The sequence below is a fragment of the Homo sapiens genome, chromosome 12, assembly GCF_000001405.40.
Source record: "Homo sapiens chromosome 12, GRCh38.p14 Primary Assembly".
Classification (NCBI taxonomy): Eukaryota; Metazoa; Chordata; class Mammalia; order Primates; family Hominidae; genus Homo; species Homo sapiens.
In genome coordinates, this window is record NC_000012.12 from 113,828,079 (window position 1) to 113,843,838 (window position 15,760).

At 52.6% G+C, this 15,760-nt stretch overlaps 1 protein-coding gene across 7 annotated transcripts in view; it reads right to left on the reverse strand.

The window, feature by feature from the left end:
* RBM19 (RNA binding motif protein 19) overlaps positions 1-15,760 on the reverse strand; it is a 149,586-nt gene that overhangs the window by 11,339 nt on the left and 122,487 nt on the right. The gene's annotated exons all lie outside the window — the stretch shown is intronic.

Below are 15,760 nucleotides of genomic sequence, written 5' to 3' on the forward strand. Positions count from 1 at the left end.
AGCAGCTCTCGACTCTGTCTCAAAAAAAAAAAAAAAAAAAAAAGTGACCAATGGGATGGAGCAGGGCCTCCCACTGTGGGCCCACAGAAGAGTGTCTGGATTTGCTGACATGATTTGCCATGAATACAGAAATCAGTGACTAATGTTCAAAAACAGGGAGATGCTACATAAGAATCTGCACCTCTCGTTTCTCTTGAACCTGGAATGGCTAACCTGTGAGTGTGGCAGACCTGTCCCCTCCCTGCCTACAGGTAACTGATGAGGCTGTGCACTAGCTGCCCCTGGAGACACGCAGCCTCACTTATGGGGGCTTTTCTTCCTGTTCCTGGAGGCTCCTGAGTTGCTACTTCCCGAGACACAGGATAGGCAAGGCTTCCACAAACTCCGCTAAGTCGGAGACAGAACTGATTCCAAGAGGCCGGGGTGAAGGGCAGGGGGCGGGGGCACAGGTGGGCGAGGGGAGGAAGGAGGTTGGGGCAGAGTGTGGAGGCCAGAATGAGGCTCCACAATCTTCAGACTCAGTGGTGTGCAGTCCTAGGCTGCTGGGGGACACCAGCCACCTGTAGCTCCCACCCTTGGGGAGTATGAGGGTGCCATGATGTGGGTACCGCAGGGGGGCTGGGCACCCGGGGGCTGGCCTGGCTTGGGAGGCTGCCTGCTCTGGAAGGCTGGCTGAACCAGACCCCCACCCTCAGCTGCTGGTGCCTCTGCATGGGTCTCTCCCTGTCCTCCCTGGCTTCATATCTTGCAGCCCCCACGGGCAGAGCTCTCCTACCCAGATAGGTCTGCATCTCAGGGCTCTGTGTACAGCAGGCACACATCAGGTACGCACAGAATAAAGGGTACTCTTCAGGAGACTGGCCTGGCTCCTAAGACCAAGCCAATGTCCCTTTATTGATACAGGAGGCTGTTTTAGGGCTGTGCCTTTTTTTTTTTTTAAATAGACAGAATCACACTGTCACCCAGGTGAGTGCAGTGGAGCGATCTCGGCTCACTGCAACCTCTGCTTTCCGGGTTTGAGTGATTCTTGTGCCTCAGCCTCCCAAGTAGCTGGGATTACAGGCGTACACCACCAGGCCCAACTAATTTTTGTATTTTTAGTAGAAATGAGATTTCACCATGTTGGACATGAGCTCAAGTGATCCACCCGCCTTGGCCTCCTAACGTGCTGGGATTATAGGCATGAGCCACTACGTCCAGCCAGTTGTGCCTTTTTAAAACACAGCGAGTCCTTCTAAGAACTAGGTATGATCTGAGAGGGTCCTTGTGCAGAGCGGGTGGGCAGGAGCCTGGGCCGCAGACTGGCCTCTGCCACTGTGGGACTCCCAGGAGCTGCTAAGCTCCTTACCTCAGTGTTCCCACCTGTTAAACGGGGACGGTGCCTGCTCTGCTTATCTCATGGGGACCGTAAGGATTCCTGCCTTCAGTCACTCTTAGCAAGCATGACCCAGCATATTCTATGTGCCAGGAATGATGCTGGGGATATGGCAGTGAACAAAACTCCACAGGATAAACTAAACCACCAGCCATGGGGGCCACACTGGGGCTCAGGGTGGACAGGACGAGGTGGGACCTGAGTGCTGCCACTTGGTGGTCCCAGCCTTCTCTGAGTTACCAAAGTTACTCTTCTGCAGACAGGACACAGTAGTAGCACCCACCACAGGGGATTTGATGAGATAAAGCATGAGAGCACTTAGCCCAGGGCCCGGCCCGTTGAGGTGCCAGGCAAACATGAAAGCTAACAATCAAAGGGTCCTGTGAGGCCACCCCAGAGGACAGGCAGTGCCCAGCAAAGGGGAAATCCAGCTGCCCAAGATAAGGCCAAGGGGCGAGCTGCAGGGACCACTCCTCAGGCGCCTGCTGGCTCTAAGCAGCAGGCTGGCTCTGGACTTTCCTACAGAAATTCCACCAGCTAGGCAACATCATTGTCCCACTTTTCAGATGAGGAAGCAGCCGCACTAGGACTCTGAAGAGTCAAGTGGTCACACTTTCCAAGCAGGACCTTGAGCTCAGATAGGGTTGGCTCCAGCCTTACTGGCACAGCATAGCAAAGCCTGCCCCGCAGAGGGGGACACTAGCCCAGCCTCCCTAGGATGGGGGTCTCAACAGGAAAAGCATGAACAGACCCAGGCTATGTAGCAGCAATTTCCTTTTCAAAGGCCATTGGTTCTCAATCCAGCTGTCTGGTAGCATCAGCTAGGAACCCACTGATGCCTGGATCCTACCTCCAGAGGTTCTGATGCAAATGGCCTGGGGTGAGCACGGGATATGATGACTGCTATGATGACTGATGTTATTAATCTTGGTGCTGAGGACCTGGGCTCCCTGAGTGGCTGGAGAGTGGGTCGGTGGGTGGAGTAACTTCCCTCTGTGCTCTGGGTGTCTTGTGTGTGTGCAGAATTCTATGACTGGCCACGCACAACCCCATACACAGGGGCTGGTGAAGGTGCTGCAGCCCTGATACCCATGGAGTTACCCTGAGCTAGGGCTGCGGGGCGGGGGGGGGGGGGGTGGGCTATGCCTGGGGGCTTCTAGACTTGGTCCCACATGTTTGTATTAGTTACAGATACTGGCAGACCTGTGCGGCTGGGAAGCAAGGGGAGTGTCCCGGTGAGGGTGACTCACTGCAGAGGGAAAAGGGAAAAAGAACCAGGAAAGGTGGGAAGGCATCCCCTACTCCTCTGCCTCAGGTCTGGAGGAATCCCCCAAGTCTTAGGGTTTGGTCCACATTAGTTACTGATCTCTTTTCTTTTGGCATAGGCCCTGGGTTGGAAAGCAGAGGCTGAAAGGGAGCAGCTGGTAACATCTCATAGGGCCAAGGTATAGTGGTGTCTGTACCAGGCTGTGTAAGTGCAAAGGCTCGAGGGTCCAGATAGGAATATGATGGCATCAAACAGTCCAGGGGGTCGGGGGAGACTACAGGGAGGGCTATGCATTGTGCGTAAGGGGAAGCCCAGCCTTCGTATAAACGTGCAGCCATTCCTTGGGCCTGGTGCCCTGTGGGAATGTGGAACCAGGCTGGCCAAATCTGATTTTTCAGAAGAGGTCAGAATCTTGATTTTCAGGTCAAATCTTCCAGTAGGAAAATAGTGATGATTCATTCAAAACCATTGTTTTCATAACTGGTAGGCAAAATAAAGATCTAATTTCAGCCGACAACTTGCCAGTGTGGTCTCTGCTCTTTTCTCTCTCTCCTCTCTGTCTACAAAACCCCACTACTTTCATTTGTGGTCATGAAGCAGTAATAAAAACCTTGTCTGTGTGTTTTCCTTGGGTTTCTCCAGGCTGGGCCAGCCTACAGTTCAGAAATAAAACTGGCCACCCCCTACCACCAGCTACAACCCTGGAGGGAAACCCACCCTTCCTCCTGTCCCTGTTTCTAGCACTGTGGTCCCCAAGTCCCCAAACCCTCGTCCAATCCCGGCCCAGCCCCTGCCCCTCCCAAGTCGCTCTGAAATTCTCCTTCTGTCAGTTTAATTCCGTGATCGATGAGGAAGAGCACGAGAAATGGCCCGGCACAGCTGGCTTCCCCGTTAGCCCTAGCAGGGATTCCTGGCCTTGCTGGCGACGGCTGAGTGAAATGTTTGCGGAACACAGAGAACACAAGTCAATAACAATTTAGCTGGATTGGGAGCAAGTACCTTCCCCACACGGACAGCCGCTCCCGGGGGAAGGGGAAGAGAGTGTGCGGGATATTGCCGAAGCACTTGGAATTATTTCCAAAACACCGCCCAGCGAGGCTCAGGCGTGGGGAGTGGAAGGAAGTAGGAGGGGGTGACTGGGCGATACCTGCTCCAGCTGGCCTCCAGGACCCCCAGCCTCCCTGCACTGCTGCAGGGAGAAGGATCTTGCTCTCTGATCATGGCTCCCTGCATGGCCAGCCATGTGCACCACTTGGGCGCACACTTGGGAACTGCCTTGACCGAAAGAATTCCCTCTCCTTGATTTTTCTCCTCTGGATTCAGCCTCCAGCAGCTGAGATAGCCAGGGGTGTGAGAAAGAGTGGGTTTCCCAGGCAACCTCAACCTCTCCTGGAACCACTTCCCAACATGACCAGGAGCTGGAGATAGGTTAAAACACACTACCCTGAACACAAAAAGTTATCATTTCTTTTTTCTTTTTTTTTTTTTAGACTAAGTCTCACTCTGTTGCCCAGGCTGGAGTGCAGTGGTGTGATCTCGGCTCACTGCAACTTCTGTCTCCCTGGTTCAAGTGATTCTCCTGCCTCAGCCTCCTGAGTAGCTAGGATTACGGGCGCACGCCACCACACCTGGCTAATTTTTGTATTTTTAGAAGAGACAGGGCTTCGCTGTGTTGGCCAGGCTGCTCTCGAACTCCTGGGCTCAAGTGATCCACCCACCTTGGCCTCCCAAAGTGCTGGGATTACAGGCATGAGCCGCCACTTTTGGCTGTAAAGTGATCATTTCAAAGAGGTCAGGGATAAATCACCCACATATTCCCACACCCCACCCAGTCTCGGCCTTTCCTGTCAGGACCCGCTATGGCAATCCGGGACAGTTTCCCTCTTTGCCCGCCTCCTGCTGAGGCCTTCAACACCTCTGGAGGAAGGGCTGCTACAGTCAAGTCTTCAGGAGAAAGCAAGAAGGACCCAGGTGAAGGAATGAAAATGGGAAGCTTACAGAAAACCTCTGTCTCCAGGTGGATGGAAGGAACCACGACCAAAGGATATTTTGAATAACAAATTCTGTGGCTTCACATCTTTGCTTGAACTTTCCTGACTGTGAGTTTTAAAGCCCGATGATTATGTTTTCATGGGCAAGATCAAGGTGGCCTATTCGCAAAGGCTGACGTGGGGATAACGGGCTCTCTTGGTCTCCAGTCTTTTGAAAATGTACTGTCCTGTGAATGATTAAGTTATGGAAGTGGGGAGGGGGGGTTAACTCTTGCAGGCTTTAAATATCATCTGTCTGCTGATGACTTCCAAATTTATATCTCAGCCCAGACTTCGCCCCTGAGCTCCCAACTCATAGATCTATCTGCCTGACATCGAGGGGAGTCCTAATAGGTGTCTCAACTTCAACACGTTCAGAACACCCCCGCCCAGCCACCTGTCCTTCCCAGCTTCCTGGGCCTCTGCTCACCATGCAGCACCACCATCCCGTGAGTGGCTTGGAGCAAAAACCTATGCACCAGTTTTGATTTTTCTCCTGCCTTCCAGAAGCAAGTCTGGCTGGCTCTACCTTTACCCAAAATGCTCAATCCACCTGCTTCCCCACCTCCACAGCCTCTGCTCCATGGCCCTTATTGGCCTGGATGGGACCTCTGCCCTCCATTCTTGCCCCTCTACAATGCAGGGGATGAGGTCTGACAGTGTGAATTGGGTCTTGAGACTCTTCTCTTCAAATCTTCTGGGAGCTTCCCACTGCACCTTGAATACAAGCTGGGCTTCCTGCCAGGCCAGACAAGGCCCCAGGAGGAAACCCTGCTGGCTTCTCTGCCTGCTTTGAACACACTCTGACCCCAGGACCTTGGCACCCATGGCTTCTGCTACCTGGGATGGTTCTCCCCAGATCCTTGGCTAGTTGGTCCCTTTGAATCACACAGAAATGCTGACTTGGCAGAAAGACTTTCCAACCATCATATTTGGAATCGCTCCTTCCCCTCTCTGGTGGTCCTGAAGAGCTCATTAGGCTATCCTTTCTTTTCTTTTCGTTTTTAAAAAGAGATAGGGTCTTGCTCTGTTGCCCAGGCTGGAGTGCAGTGGCGTAATCATGGCTTGCTGCAGCCTCGAACTCCTGGGCTCAAGTGATCCTCCCACCTCAGCCTCCCGAGTAGCTGGGACTACAGGTGTGTGCCACCATGCCTGGCTAATTTTTAAAGTTTTTTTTTAGAGACGGGGTCTCGCTATGTGGCTCAGGCTGGTCTCAAACTCCTAGGCTCAAGTGATCCTCCTGCCTCGGCGTCTCAAAGCACTGGGATTACAGGTGTGAGCCACTGTATCAACCATATTTTACCCTTTCTAATTTCCACCGCAGGACTTGGTATCATTAGAACTTTGTTGCTATTTATTTATTTTTTTGGTAGGGCAGGGGAGGGGGGCAATCATCTGTCTCCCTCACTCAAATCAGCTCCATGAGGGAGGACTTTCTCTTTTGTACACTGCTTTGCCCTCAGTGCCTAGAGCACGGCTTGCTAATAAGGTCATCAGTGAAGAACTGTTGAATGAATGAATGAATGAATGAATGGGGCCTCCTATCCAGGGAAGCTGGAGATCTAAGCACAGGACTCCAGGTGCAGGGCACTGGGGGTGCAGTTATGAGGCCTCTAGAGTTATATGCTCTGAGAAAGTGGGGAGTCACCATGGGAGGAACTAGCCACCCCTGGCTTTTGGATAAAATAAGGGCAGCCACTTCAGAAGCCCTAGGGGCTGCAAGGCCTTTCTTTGAAGAGCCAGAAAGTAAATACTTTAGGCTTGGTGGGCCATAGGGTCTCTGTCACAACCGCTCAGCTTTGTCCTTGCAGGGGAAGAAAGTAGCCCTAGACGATATATGAACAAATGGGCATGCCTGTGTTCCAATACAACTTTATTTATAAAAACAGATTGTAGGCTGTGGTTTGCAACTGCTGCTGTAGCTGGATCAGGAGCCCAGATCCAATAAAGAGAGGGCAATTTGGGATTTAGGAGGTGCTGAGGATACAGGGTACGATGGAACACCCAGGTATAGACATTAACTACAGTTCTGCAGTGTCCAGACCGGTATGCCTTCAGACCGGGAACTAACTGCTCTGGGTCTTGGTTTGTGCTTCAGTAAAATGGAAGCAACACTGTTCTTAAGGGAGCTGTGAGCCTGAAATGAGACTGAGTTACGTAAAACCACCTGATATCACTCTCTGCACATGGTAGGTCCATGACAAAGCTTTCTTGCCCTCTTTCTTTCCTTTCCCTCTGATTTGATCTTTATAAGAACTTACATGATTGCCTTTTCAGACCAGCGGTGCTTCGAAGCACCCAGTCAGGAATATCTGGCTTCGACCACACAGGGCTCCAGTGCCGACCGCACACCTGGCTAAGTGTGGGGCTTGGAGCACATTAGCCAGCTTTTCTGAGCCCGGCTTCCTTCCTTGTGGGGTGACTGTGAAGATGAACTGAGTTAACGCTCACACAGTGTCCAGCACCTGTTAGATGCTCAATTAAATTCTAATCATCATTCTGATGATTAGGTTCTTATGTATGTTCATTTTTTCACCCCACAAATGGTCACTGAGTGCCTCCTCTCTGTTAGATGTGGGGCCCAGGCAGGTTGGTCAAAGGGCCTTGTACCCCCGCAAAGGATAAAGTGTCACACGGAGAAGGATCTTAATTGCACACGTGAGCACCTGACGGCAGGCTGTGGTACTCGAGGAGGACCAGGGGAGGGGCATGACAAGGGAATCACGAAAAGGAGAGGTGTGGGGGAAAAGCTGCATCTTTGACACTCTGGCTGGGAGGCAGTGGGGGCCGGGGTCAGTGGGGGCTGCCGGGACCAGGGCTCTAGCAAGCAGGCTCCTTCCCTGCTCCTCGCGAGGCTGGGAGGGTGACTGTTTGCTGGAGGCCGGCGACCCATGGGGACAGCCACCCGTCTGTGCCGGAAGAGCACTTCTCCGGGCACTCTGCTCATAGATCTCCCGCCCCAGCCCAACCTGGCTTGGGCAGGCGGGGGAAGGCCCCACTGCCAGCCACTCGCCATGCTGGTCATGTCTGCGCTCCCAGCTCTGGAGGTGAAAGGTAGAGACGCTAACCACAGCCCATCAGTCCTCCCCAGCTGGAATAAGACAACATGGGAAGCAGAGCCACGCTCCCAGCCAAATAAAAGCCTGTTTGCCCAGCCTCCCTGGCTGTGAGTGCTGTAAAACACAGGGTTCTGCGCACGGATTTCTTCCATACCATTATATTCTCTCGGCTGCGCTCGCAGGTACTGTGGCCTGCCGCGGCCCTGAAAGCTTCTCGATGCCGTGACCCTGCTGGTTTGTAACACGCTCAGGAAGAAAAGGACACAGCCAGCGGCGGACTTTCCTCTTTCTTCCCTCCTTGCTCTCTCTTTTCAAACTCCCACATGCAAGGCAGTGAAGAATAGCACTTCACCTACCACGGGGCTGCTGCGCTGGAGATGAGAAACCTGATTCTTGGCCAGCAAGGAAGGGAGGGAGGTGCGGGGCAGTGGGCAGGGGCAGGAAGAGGACAGGGGAGATGGGGAGGGCAGTTTGGTGGAAAACGTCTGTCTTGCTATTCCCTTTTGAAAGCATCTCTGTCTGGTGTCAAGGTCTTTGCCTACTCAGGCCAACTTTTACAATGACTTTCAAAGCCCTGTCCTTCGCTGTTCAATTTGACAGGTGTTTTGCAAGCATCAACTTGCAAGGAAAAATATAATGCCCTGCCATTATACAGGGACAATGGATAAAATGAAGGCTTCCGCTTGGTGGGGAGGGGCTGGGGGGTTTACAACAAGTTTCTTTTGTCTGCCAGTAAGGAACCTGGATAAGCAGAGAGCTCGAGTCTGGGCGTGGAGCATAATGAGTTACTGTAACTGACTTGGAAGGCAGGACATTACGGTTGCTGCTTGAGCAGTGAGTCCTCCTCCTTCTCCTCATGGCACCTGGGCACTAATAAGCTCCTATTAGGTGCCAGGCTCTGTGCTATGCCATGGAGACAAGGGAGAACAGGTGGCATCTGTGGCCAGATATAAACATCCTATCCCAAGCAATGCTTATGTGTCAGGCATACCTGTCCTCCTACTTACTACATACATACACACACACACACACACGTGTCCCAAGCAATGCTTATGTGTCAGGCATACCTGTCCTCCTACTTACTACATACACACCCCCCCCCCCCCCACATACACACACACACACACACACGTGTCCCAAGCAATGCTTATGTGTCAGGCATACCTGTCCTCCTACTTACTACATACACACACACACACACACACACACACACACACACACACGTCCCAAGCAATGCTTATGTGTCAGGCATACCTATCCCCCTACTTACTACATACATACATACATACATACATACATACACACACACGTCCCAAGCAATGCTTCTGTGTCAGGTATACCCATCCTCCTACTTAATATACACACACAGACACACACACAGACACACACACACACTCTCACGTGCTACTGCCCAGGCTTATAACCCATCCTCCTAATACACACACACACACACACACACACACACACACGTGTGCTACTGCCCAGGCTTATAAACACCAGGGCTCATCTCTGTGTCTTGGTCCTTTGCCCAGAGAGCATCCTCCCTTAGCCTGGCCTGACTGGAATGCAAAGAAAGTGGGAGTATTTTTGGCAACTCAGAAAAGGAAGAGTGAGTGCCCCGAAGGACCATGAGGCCCCTCAACAATCCTATTTGTTGACTGCACGTGATGTGCCAGGAGCTGTGCGCCATCTCCTTTACAGGCATCCTTCCCTTGGAGCCCCACCGTTTCCCTAACGAGGTGGGCGCTGTGGCCCCATCGTACCAATGACGGAGCTGAGGCAGAGCGACTTGCCTGAGGTCACAGAACGGGTATGAGGACACATTCAGGTAAAATGCAAGGGGCAGCCGCTCAGATCAGCTGATACAAATACTCGGTACAGCAGGATGGTGGAAAACACAGGTTTGAATCCTGGCTCTGTGGTCAGTAGCTGGGTGCCCTTGGGCAAGTTACTTGCCCTCTCTGTGCCTTAGTTTTCTCATATTTAAAACAGAGGATTGCGACAGTACAGTAAATTGACAGGTTCATAGATTCTTGGAAATCTCACAACTTTTAGTGAAAAGATGTATAACAAACTCAATGTTACCACAGGCATTAGCCTTGGATGTAAACAAGAGCTAAACTCCTACACACTAATGTATTTCTAGTAACAAAAACATCACCAAACTTCTGAATAAAGACACCAAAACGTCTAAATATTAAACACTGAAATAAATGTGAGCTATATATACATTTAAGACAGATCAGTAAAAACAAGGAAGATAATGATTTACCCAACGATTCCAGTTCAGGGCTGCAGGGGGCCAGAGCCTCTCCTGGCAGCTCAGGACACTGGGAGGGAACCCACCCCGGGTAGGGCACCGATCACACACATAACTGCACTCACCCACTCTGGGACCACTGAGACTTGCCAATTCACCCAGCGTGCATGGCTTTGGGATGTGGGAGGAAACCAGAGGACCTGGAGAAAACCCACATGGGGTGAACACACAAACCCCACAGGGTGAGCATGCAAACTCCACGGGGAGAATACGTAAACTCCATGGGGAGAGCATGCAAACTCCACAGGATGAGCATGCAAACTCCATGGGGAGAACACACAAACTCCACGGGGAGAACATGCAAACTCCACGGGGAGAACATGCAAACAACATGGGGAGAGCATGCATACTCCACAGGGTGAGCACACAAACACCACAGGGAGAGCACACAAACTGCACACAGACAGTGGCCCTGGATGGGAAGCTATTTTTTTCTTATCAATTATGATAAAATGATGTTATCTGAGGACCTGTATTTACCTCCCAGGATTCTGCAGGACTCGTTCCCATGAAAGCTTGCAGATAGTACCTGGCCGCCAAGTAAGGCTTGACCCATGAAGATTGCTAGTTACAGTAACGATAATAATAATTGGTATTATTTAGCTTGAACTACAAATTGAATGTTCTACTATGACCTAGGTGCTCAGGGACCCAGGGAAGATGAGGCCAGTCCTGGGAGCTGGGAAGCTGAGCCCAGGGGCAGGGGCACTCAAGGGTAATTCACGCTGGTGGGGCACGGACCACATCAAGGGCTTCGGCTGGTGCCAAAGCTCCACTCTATCTGCTCTGGCCACTTCCCACTGTCCCTGAGTGCGGCTCACAGGCTACGGTGTCACCGGCATCTTCCTGCCAGGCCCTGCCGAATGGTTAAGATGCCTGCCTGCCTTTCATTCTGTGGCCCACATTCTGCAGAGAGCTCTTTGTTGTGGCCTCAGAGCTCGGCAGTCTCCACCTGAGATCTGAGTGCCTTCCTGGCAGAGTTCAGGGCCGAGGCCAGAGCCAGGGGAGGGAACTGGGCATGGACACCACCTGCTCTTAGGGTCTGCCAGGGCCCCAGGAGCTCTGAACAATGCGGATTTTCACACAAATGAACTGAGTTATTTTTCTCCATGGGAAAAGGGCACAGGGTGGGGAGAAGGGTCTGGCCAGGAGGGCAGGAGGCCAGCAGGCCTATTCTGAACATTTGAGGCTGCTGTGGGCACCTCCTGTGTCCCAGAGACATCAATCGGACAATAGGTGTTTCAGTGGGTGAGAGAGACTGACATCTCTAGCACGCCTGCTCTGTGCTGGACACACTCCAGGCATCACCTCACTTTCCCAATCCAGTGTCACACTCCCAGGGGAGGACGGATAGAGAGGTAAACCTGACTATCGTTTCAAGTTCAACCATTCACTACCTGTGTGACCTTGGGCAAGGTGCTTCATCTCTGCGTGCCTCAGTTCCCCTATCTGCAGAATGGGGAGATGAACAGCACCTCACTCACAGCGGTGGTGTGTGAATGACATGAGACCCCTCACTGCAAGGGATTTAGAAGAGTTCCTGGTCCCCAGTAAGGAAAGCTGCTACTATGGCTTTTGTTACTTCCCTGATCACTGTCAAATCAATGCCAGAAGGGGTACCCCTGTTAACATCTTTCAAATGAGAAAACAGAAGCTCACAGGGAGGAACGACTTGCCCCAGGACAACAGCCAGAATGCGGAATCCAGGTCTTGCCCTGGAACACACAGCCAGAATGCAGAATCTGGGTCTTGCTGACTCCAAAGTTGATGCTCTTTTTCCTAAGCTGGTGGTTCCTAAACCTTTTGGGGCCCATGACCTCCTAGAAATCTGATGAAAACAAAAGATCCTCTTGCCACACACGCAGACACAAACGCAATTACCAGGCATTCCCAGTCCCTCTGAGGCCAGCCATACGGGGACCCAGGTAATGCAATTACCAGGCGTTCCCAGTTCCTCTGAGGCCAGCCATACTGGAAGACAAAGTTTCATGGATTCTTAGTTAAAAAACAATCCCCATCTTACATCTTGCTGTATTCTACAGAGGGTGTTCTTTTGTTTTCAAGGGATTATCATGTTTCTTTGGAAAAGAGTGCTGAAAAATGCAATGAGGAATTCAGACTCTTTGGCTCCAAACTCTCAGGCCACCTTCTTGCCCCCTCTTCCTGGTCCACACAGGTGAGGCCAGCAGGGAGGTCTGACACTCTGCTGTGCTTGGCCCTGATGCCTGTGGATGGGTCACATCCAGGGCCATATCAGCATCCTCTCCAACCTGGGCATCGTTTCTCAGGGCTGCTCCTGCCCCCGGGAAAACATAACCCCTACCTCTGGCAACATGCCCTGACATGTACGTAGGTTACCATACACACTGGACATTCTCTGTCTGGTCCCTCCACATCCATCCTCTGTCCTGCTCCATCCCCGGAAGGCTGAACCCTACTGAACGTGTCACAGGGACAATTTGGGCCTGTGGCCGACAGGTGGGATGGCCTGATGGGAGGCCGTGGCCGGAGAGCAGACGGCTGCAGGAGAGAGAGCTGCAGCTGTTCTGTCCCCAGCCCCTTCTTCCTGCTTTGCTGCTGCCCTCTGGCAGGGGCTGTGTCCCTCCACACTGCAGTGCCCACTGGTAGCTGCTCCTAGGCTCCTGTCCTCACTGGACCCCAGGAATATCACTTCCTCCCCCTGCCCTTTCAGCCCCTGGGGTGGTTAAGAGCTCTGACACTACTCCGCTCTGGGAGCCCCAGCAACCTGTTGCTCCATGGGCACTGCCTATACCCCCGTAAGCTGCCATTGCATGACAGGGTCTTTCTATGAGGCTCCTGTGCGAATTCTGCTCCCCCCTGGGGCCTTGGCCCATCTCCCGTGGCACTGGGGAAGGGTTCGTTAGTGCTCATCTTTGACATACTCGGGGAGCCCAGAGCTGATGTCCCCTTCCAGAACCTGGGAGGGCAGTGCTCTTTCAGAGGGACTCAGAGGGGTGGAAACACATGGCTCTGACACTCAAGCCCGCCCTGAGGGGCCTTATCTCACCTATGCATGTCAGCTTCCTCATCTGTACAATGGGGACAATGAAACATGCACATAACAGGGCCTTCTATGAGCACATGCTGTGCCAATTCTGAAGGGCCAGCAGTGTTTGTCATTATGATTTGTTATTCATTCTCTCAGTTTCTGAAGGAACCCTGCAGATCTTGGGTTCATGGTCCCGATGAGTTAGAAGGGCCAAAGCCATGAAGTCAGTGAACACTCACATACCCCAGGTTTAGTGACGGCCTGGGACTTTCTTTTTCTTTTCTTTTTTTTTTTTTTTTTTTGAGATGGAGTCTCGCTCTGTCACCCAGGCTGGAGTGCAGTGGTGTGATCCTGGCTCACTGCAACCTCCGCGTCCCGGGTTCAAGTGCTTCTCCTGCCTCAGCCTCCCAAGTAGCTGGGACTATAGGCATGCGCCACCAAGCCTGGCTATTTTTTTGTATTTTTAGTAGAGACGGGGTTTCACCATGTTGGCCAGGCTGGTCTCAAATTCCTGACCTCAAGTGATCCACCCACCTCGGCCTCACAAAGTGCTGGGATTACAGGCCTGAGCCACTGCGCCTGGCCAGGAGTTTTTTCTTGAGTGACGTTTGCTAGTATAACATAGTTGGGGCCAGTGGGTGGGGTGGGAGGCTCTACAGCCGGTCTGGAGATCAAGTCTGAGCTCTGCCACTTCCTTGCTGAGTAGACATAGCACTGCCTACAGCTGCTACAGTTGCTGTGAGCACTGAGATGATGCCGGTGTGAGGATGGCCCCCTGATGCACAGTAAGTGCTTAATAAACAGTAGTCGTCATAAATTACTGCAGTGCTTGGCAGGCCTCAGTTCTCTCATCTGTGAAATGGGGCTAATAGTGTCCATCTCATAGAGCTGCTAGGGAGTGAATGGGAAGATGTAGGCAAATGAAGAACTGTCTTTGTTACTGTTATCATTCTATCTGCCCCTGTCTGGGCCTTGGCCTGGCTGGTAAGTGGCTGTGGAGACAGTCAATCCCACAGAAATGCTGCCAGCTAAGTCTTTCCACTGTGGCGAGGCAATAGTGCTGTCTTTGGAACTCAATTTATTGAAGGGGGCTTCTCTCTAAGGCAGGGCAGAACCGCTGAGCCTGCACTCCTCGGCTGGCCCCGGGGTTGGGGGATGGGGGTGGCGGGGCAGATGGGCCCCCGTCTCCACTCCAGGGAGAGTCCCTTACACAAACATTTGCCGACGGGCGCATTTGGGCTTGTCAATGGTTGTCGATAAGGACAGGCTCTCTTTCTGCACATCAGGATTTGGGGTCTTATTGAGTTGTGAGCTTGCAACTGTGTATTTAGCCTTCATTTCTCTGGTTCCACATTTGCCTCAGCTCGAATATTCCCCAGTCTGAGACTGGGAGCCTGGCATGTGCCAGGTACTATGCTGGGCACGGGGGACCCAGGGAAGAACTGATCACTAAGAGAGATGAGCACGACACAGCCCCCATGTGGGGAAGGCACGGGTCCAGAGAGGATAACAAATCGTAAAGAAATAAGTTACAACGTGGCAAGAAGGCACGGTGACAGAAGAGGAGAGTAGAGGATGGAGAAATTACTGATACCTGTGGAGGGGGAGGGAAAGCGAAGGCTTCCTGGAGGAGGTGTCATTCTATCTGGGTTTTGAAGGCATTTATCAGGTTAAAAAAAAAAAGTGAGGGGCAAGGCATTCTAAGCAGAGGGAACAGCATGTGCAAAGGCACAGAATCCTGTCTGGAGTCTGGGGAACAATGAACTCTGTGGGAGGTGTGGTGGGAGGAAGGAGGAGTCTGGGAAGACCACAGTGTGGGCAGGAGGCAGTGTTCTGAAGCGTGTGGCAGCTGGGCTAGAATCAAGGGGCTTCCCTGCTATCTCTGGAGTTCCAAGTCCACTTGTGGGGGATGCAGTCCTGCTGCATTGCTGAGACGCTGCTTCTCAGAAGCCCAGTCGTTTCGCCCTAAGCAAGACCAGTGGCCCCACTGGAAGGCTCCTATCTCCATAAGAGAAACTGTTCCCAAGGTGCTGCCTGGTTTGGCAACAGAGCTGCACCGGTCAGGCGAGGGAATAATCACTCCTGGCTCCAGGTTCCATGTCTACGCAGAGAAGTGGGGTTGGGGGATGCTGGCAGCAAACACCCCTAGTCTGTACCCAGGTGACACCCGAGGCCCTGAGCTGCCCCACAGAGAAGGGATGGATGAGGGCACAATGGTGGCTCCATCCAGGAAAGGTCCTGAGACCTGGGACCCAGGCGACAATGAGGTGGGGAGGAATGCGGTGGCGTGCCAGGAAGACCTCAGAGCACCATGGGTGGCACCACAGACAGGACTGTTCCCCATCACGGAGCCTGGCTTTTCTGGGCATGCAAAAGGCAGAGAAGCTCCCCAGCTGGGTGAACCATCGCCAAGTAAGCGGGATCCAAAGTGGGTGGAAAGCCAGCAGCTGCCCTTTTGCTGCCGGGCCCAGGCCACAGTGGAAGCACTTCTGTGATGGGAGGCGGAGGTGTGGAGATGGGGATCAAGGTCAAGTACCCCTTGATATCCCAAGTTTGGAGGGTGTGTACCTGACAGCAAGGGGCACCTGCCATACTTTCCATGTGTCCAGGGTGGAGCGATTCTTGGGGCTGTCTCACCCTCTCCTCACCTGACTGAACACAACCTCTTGGAGAAGACGAGGCCCTGCTGACCTCATCTG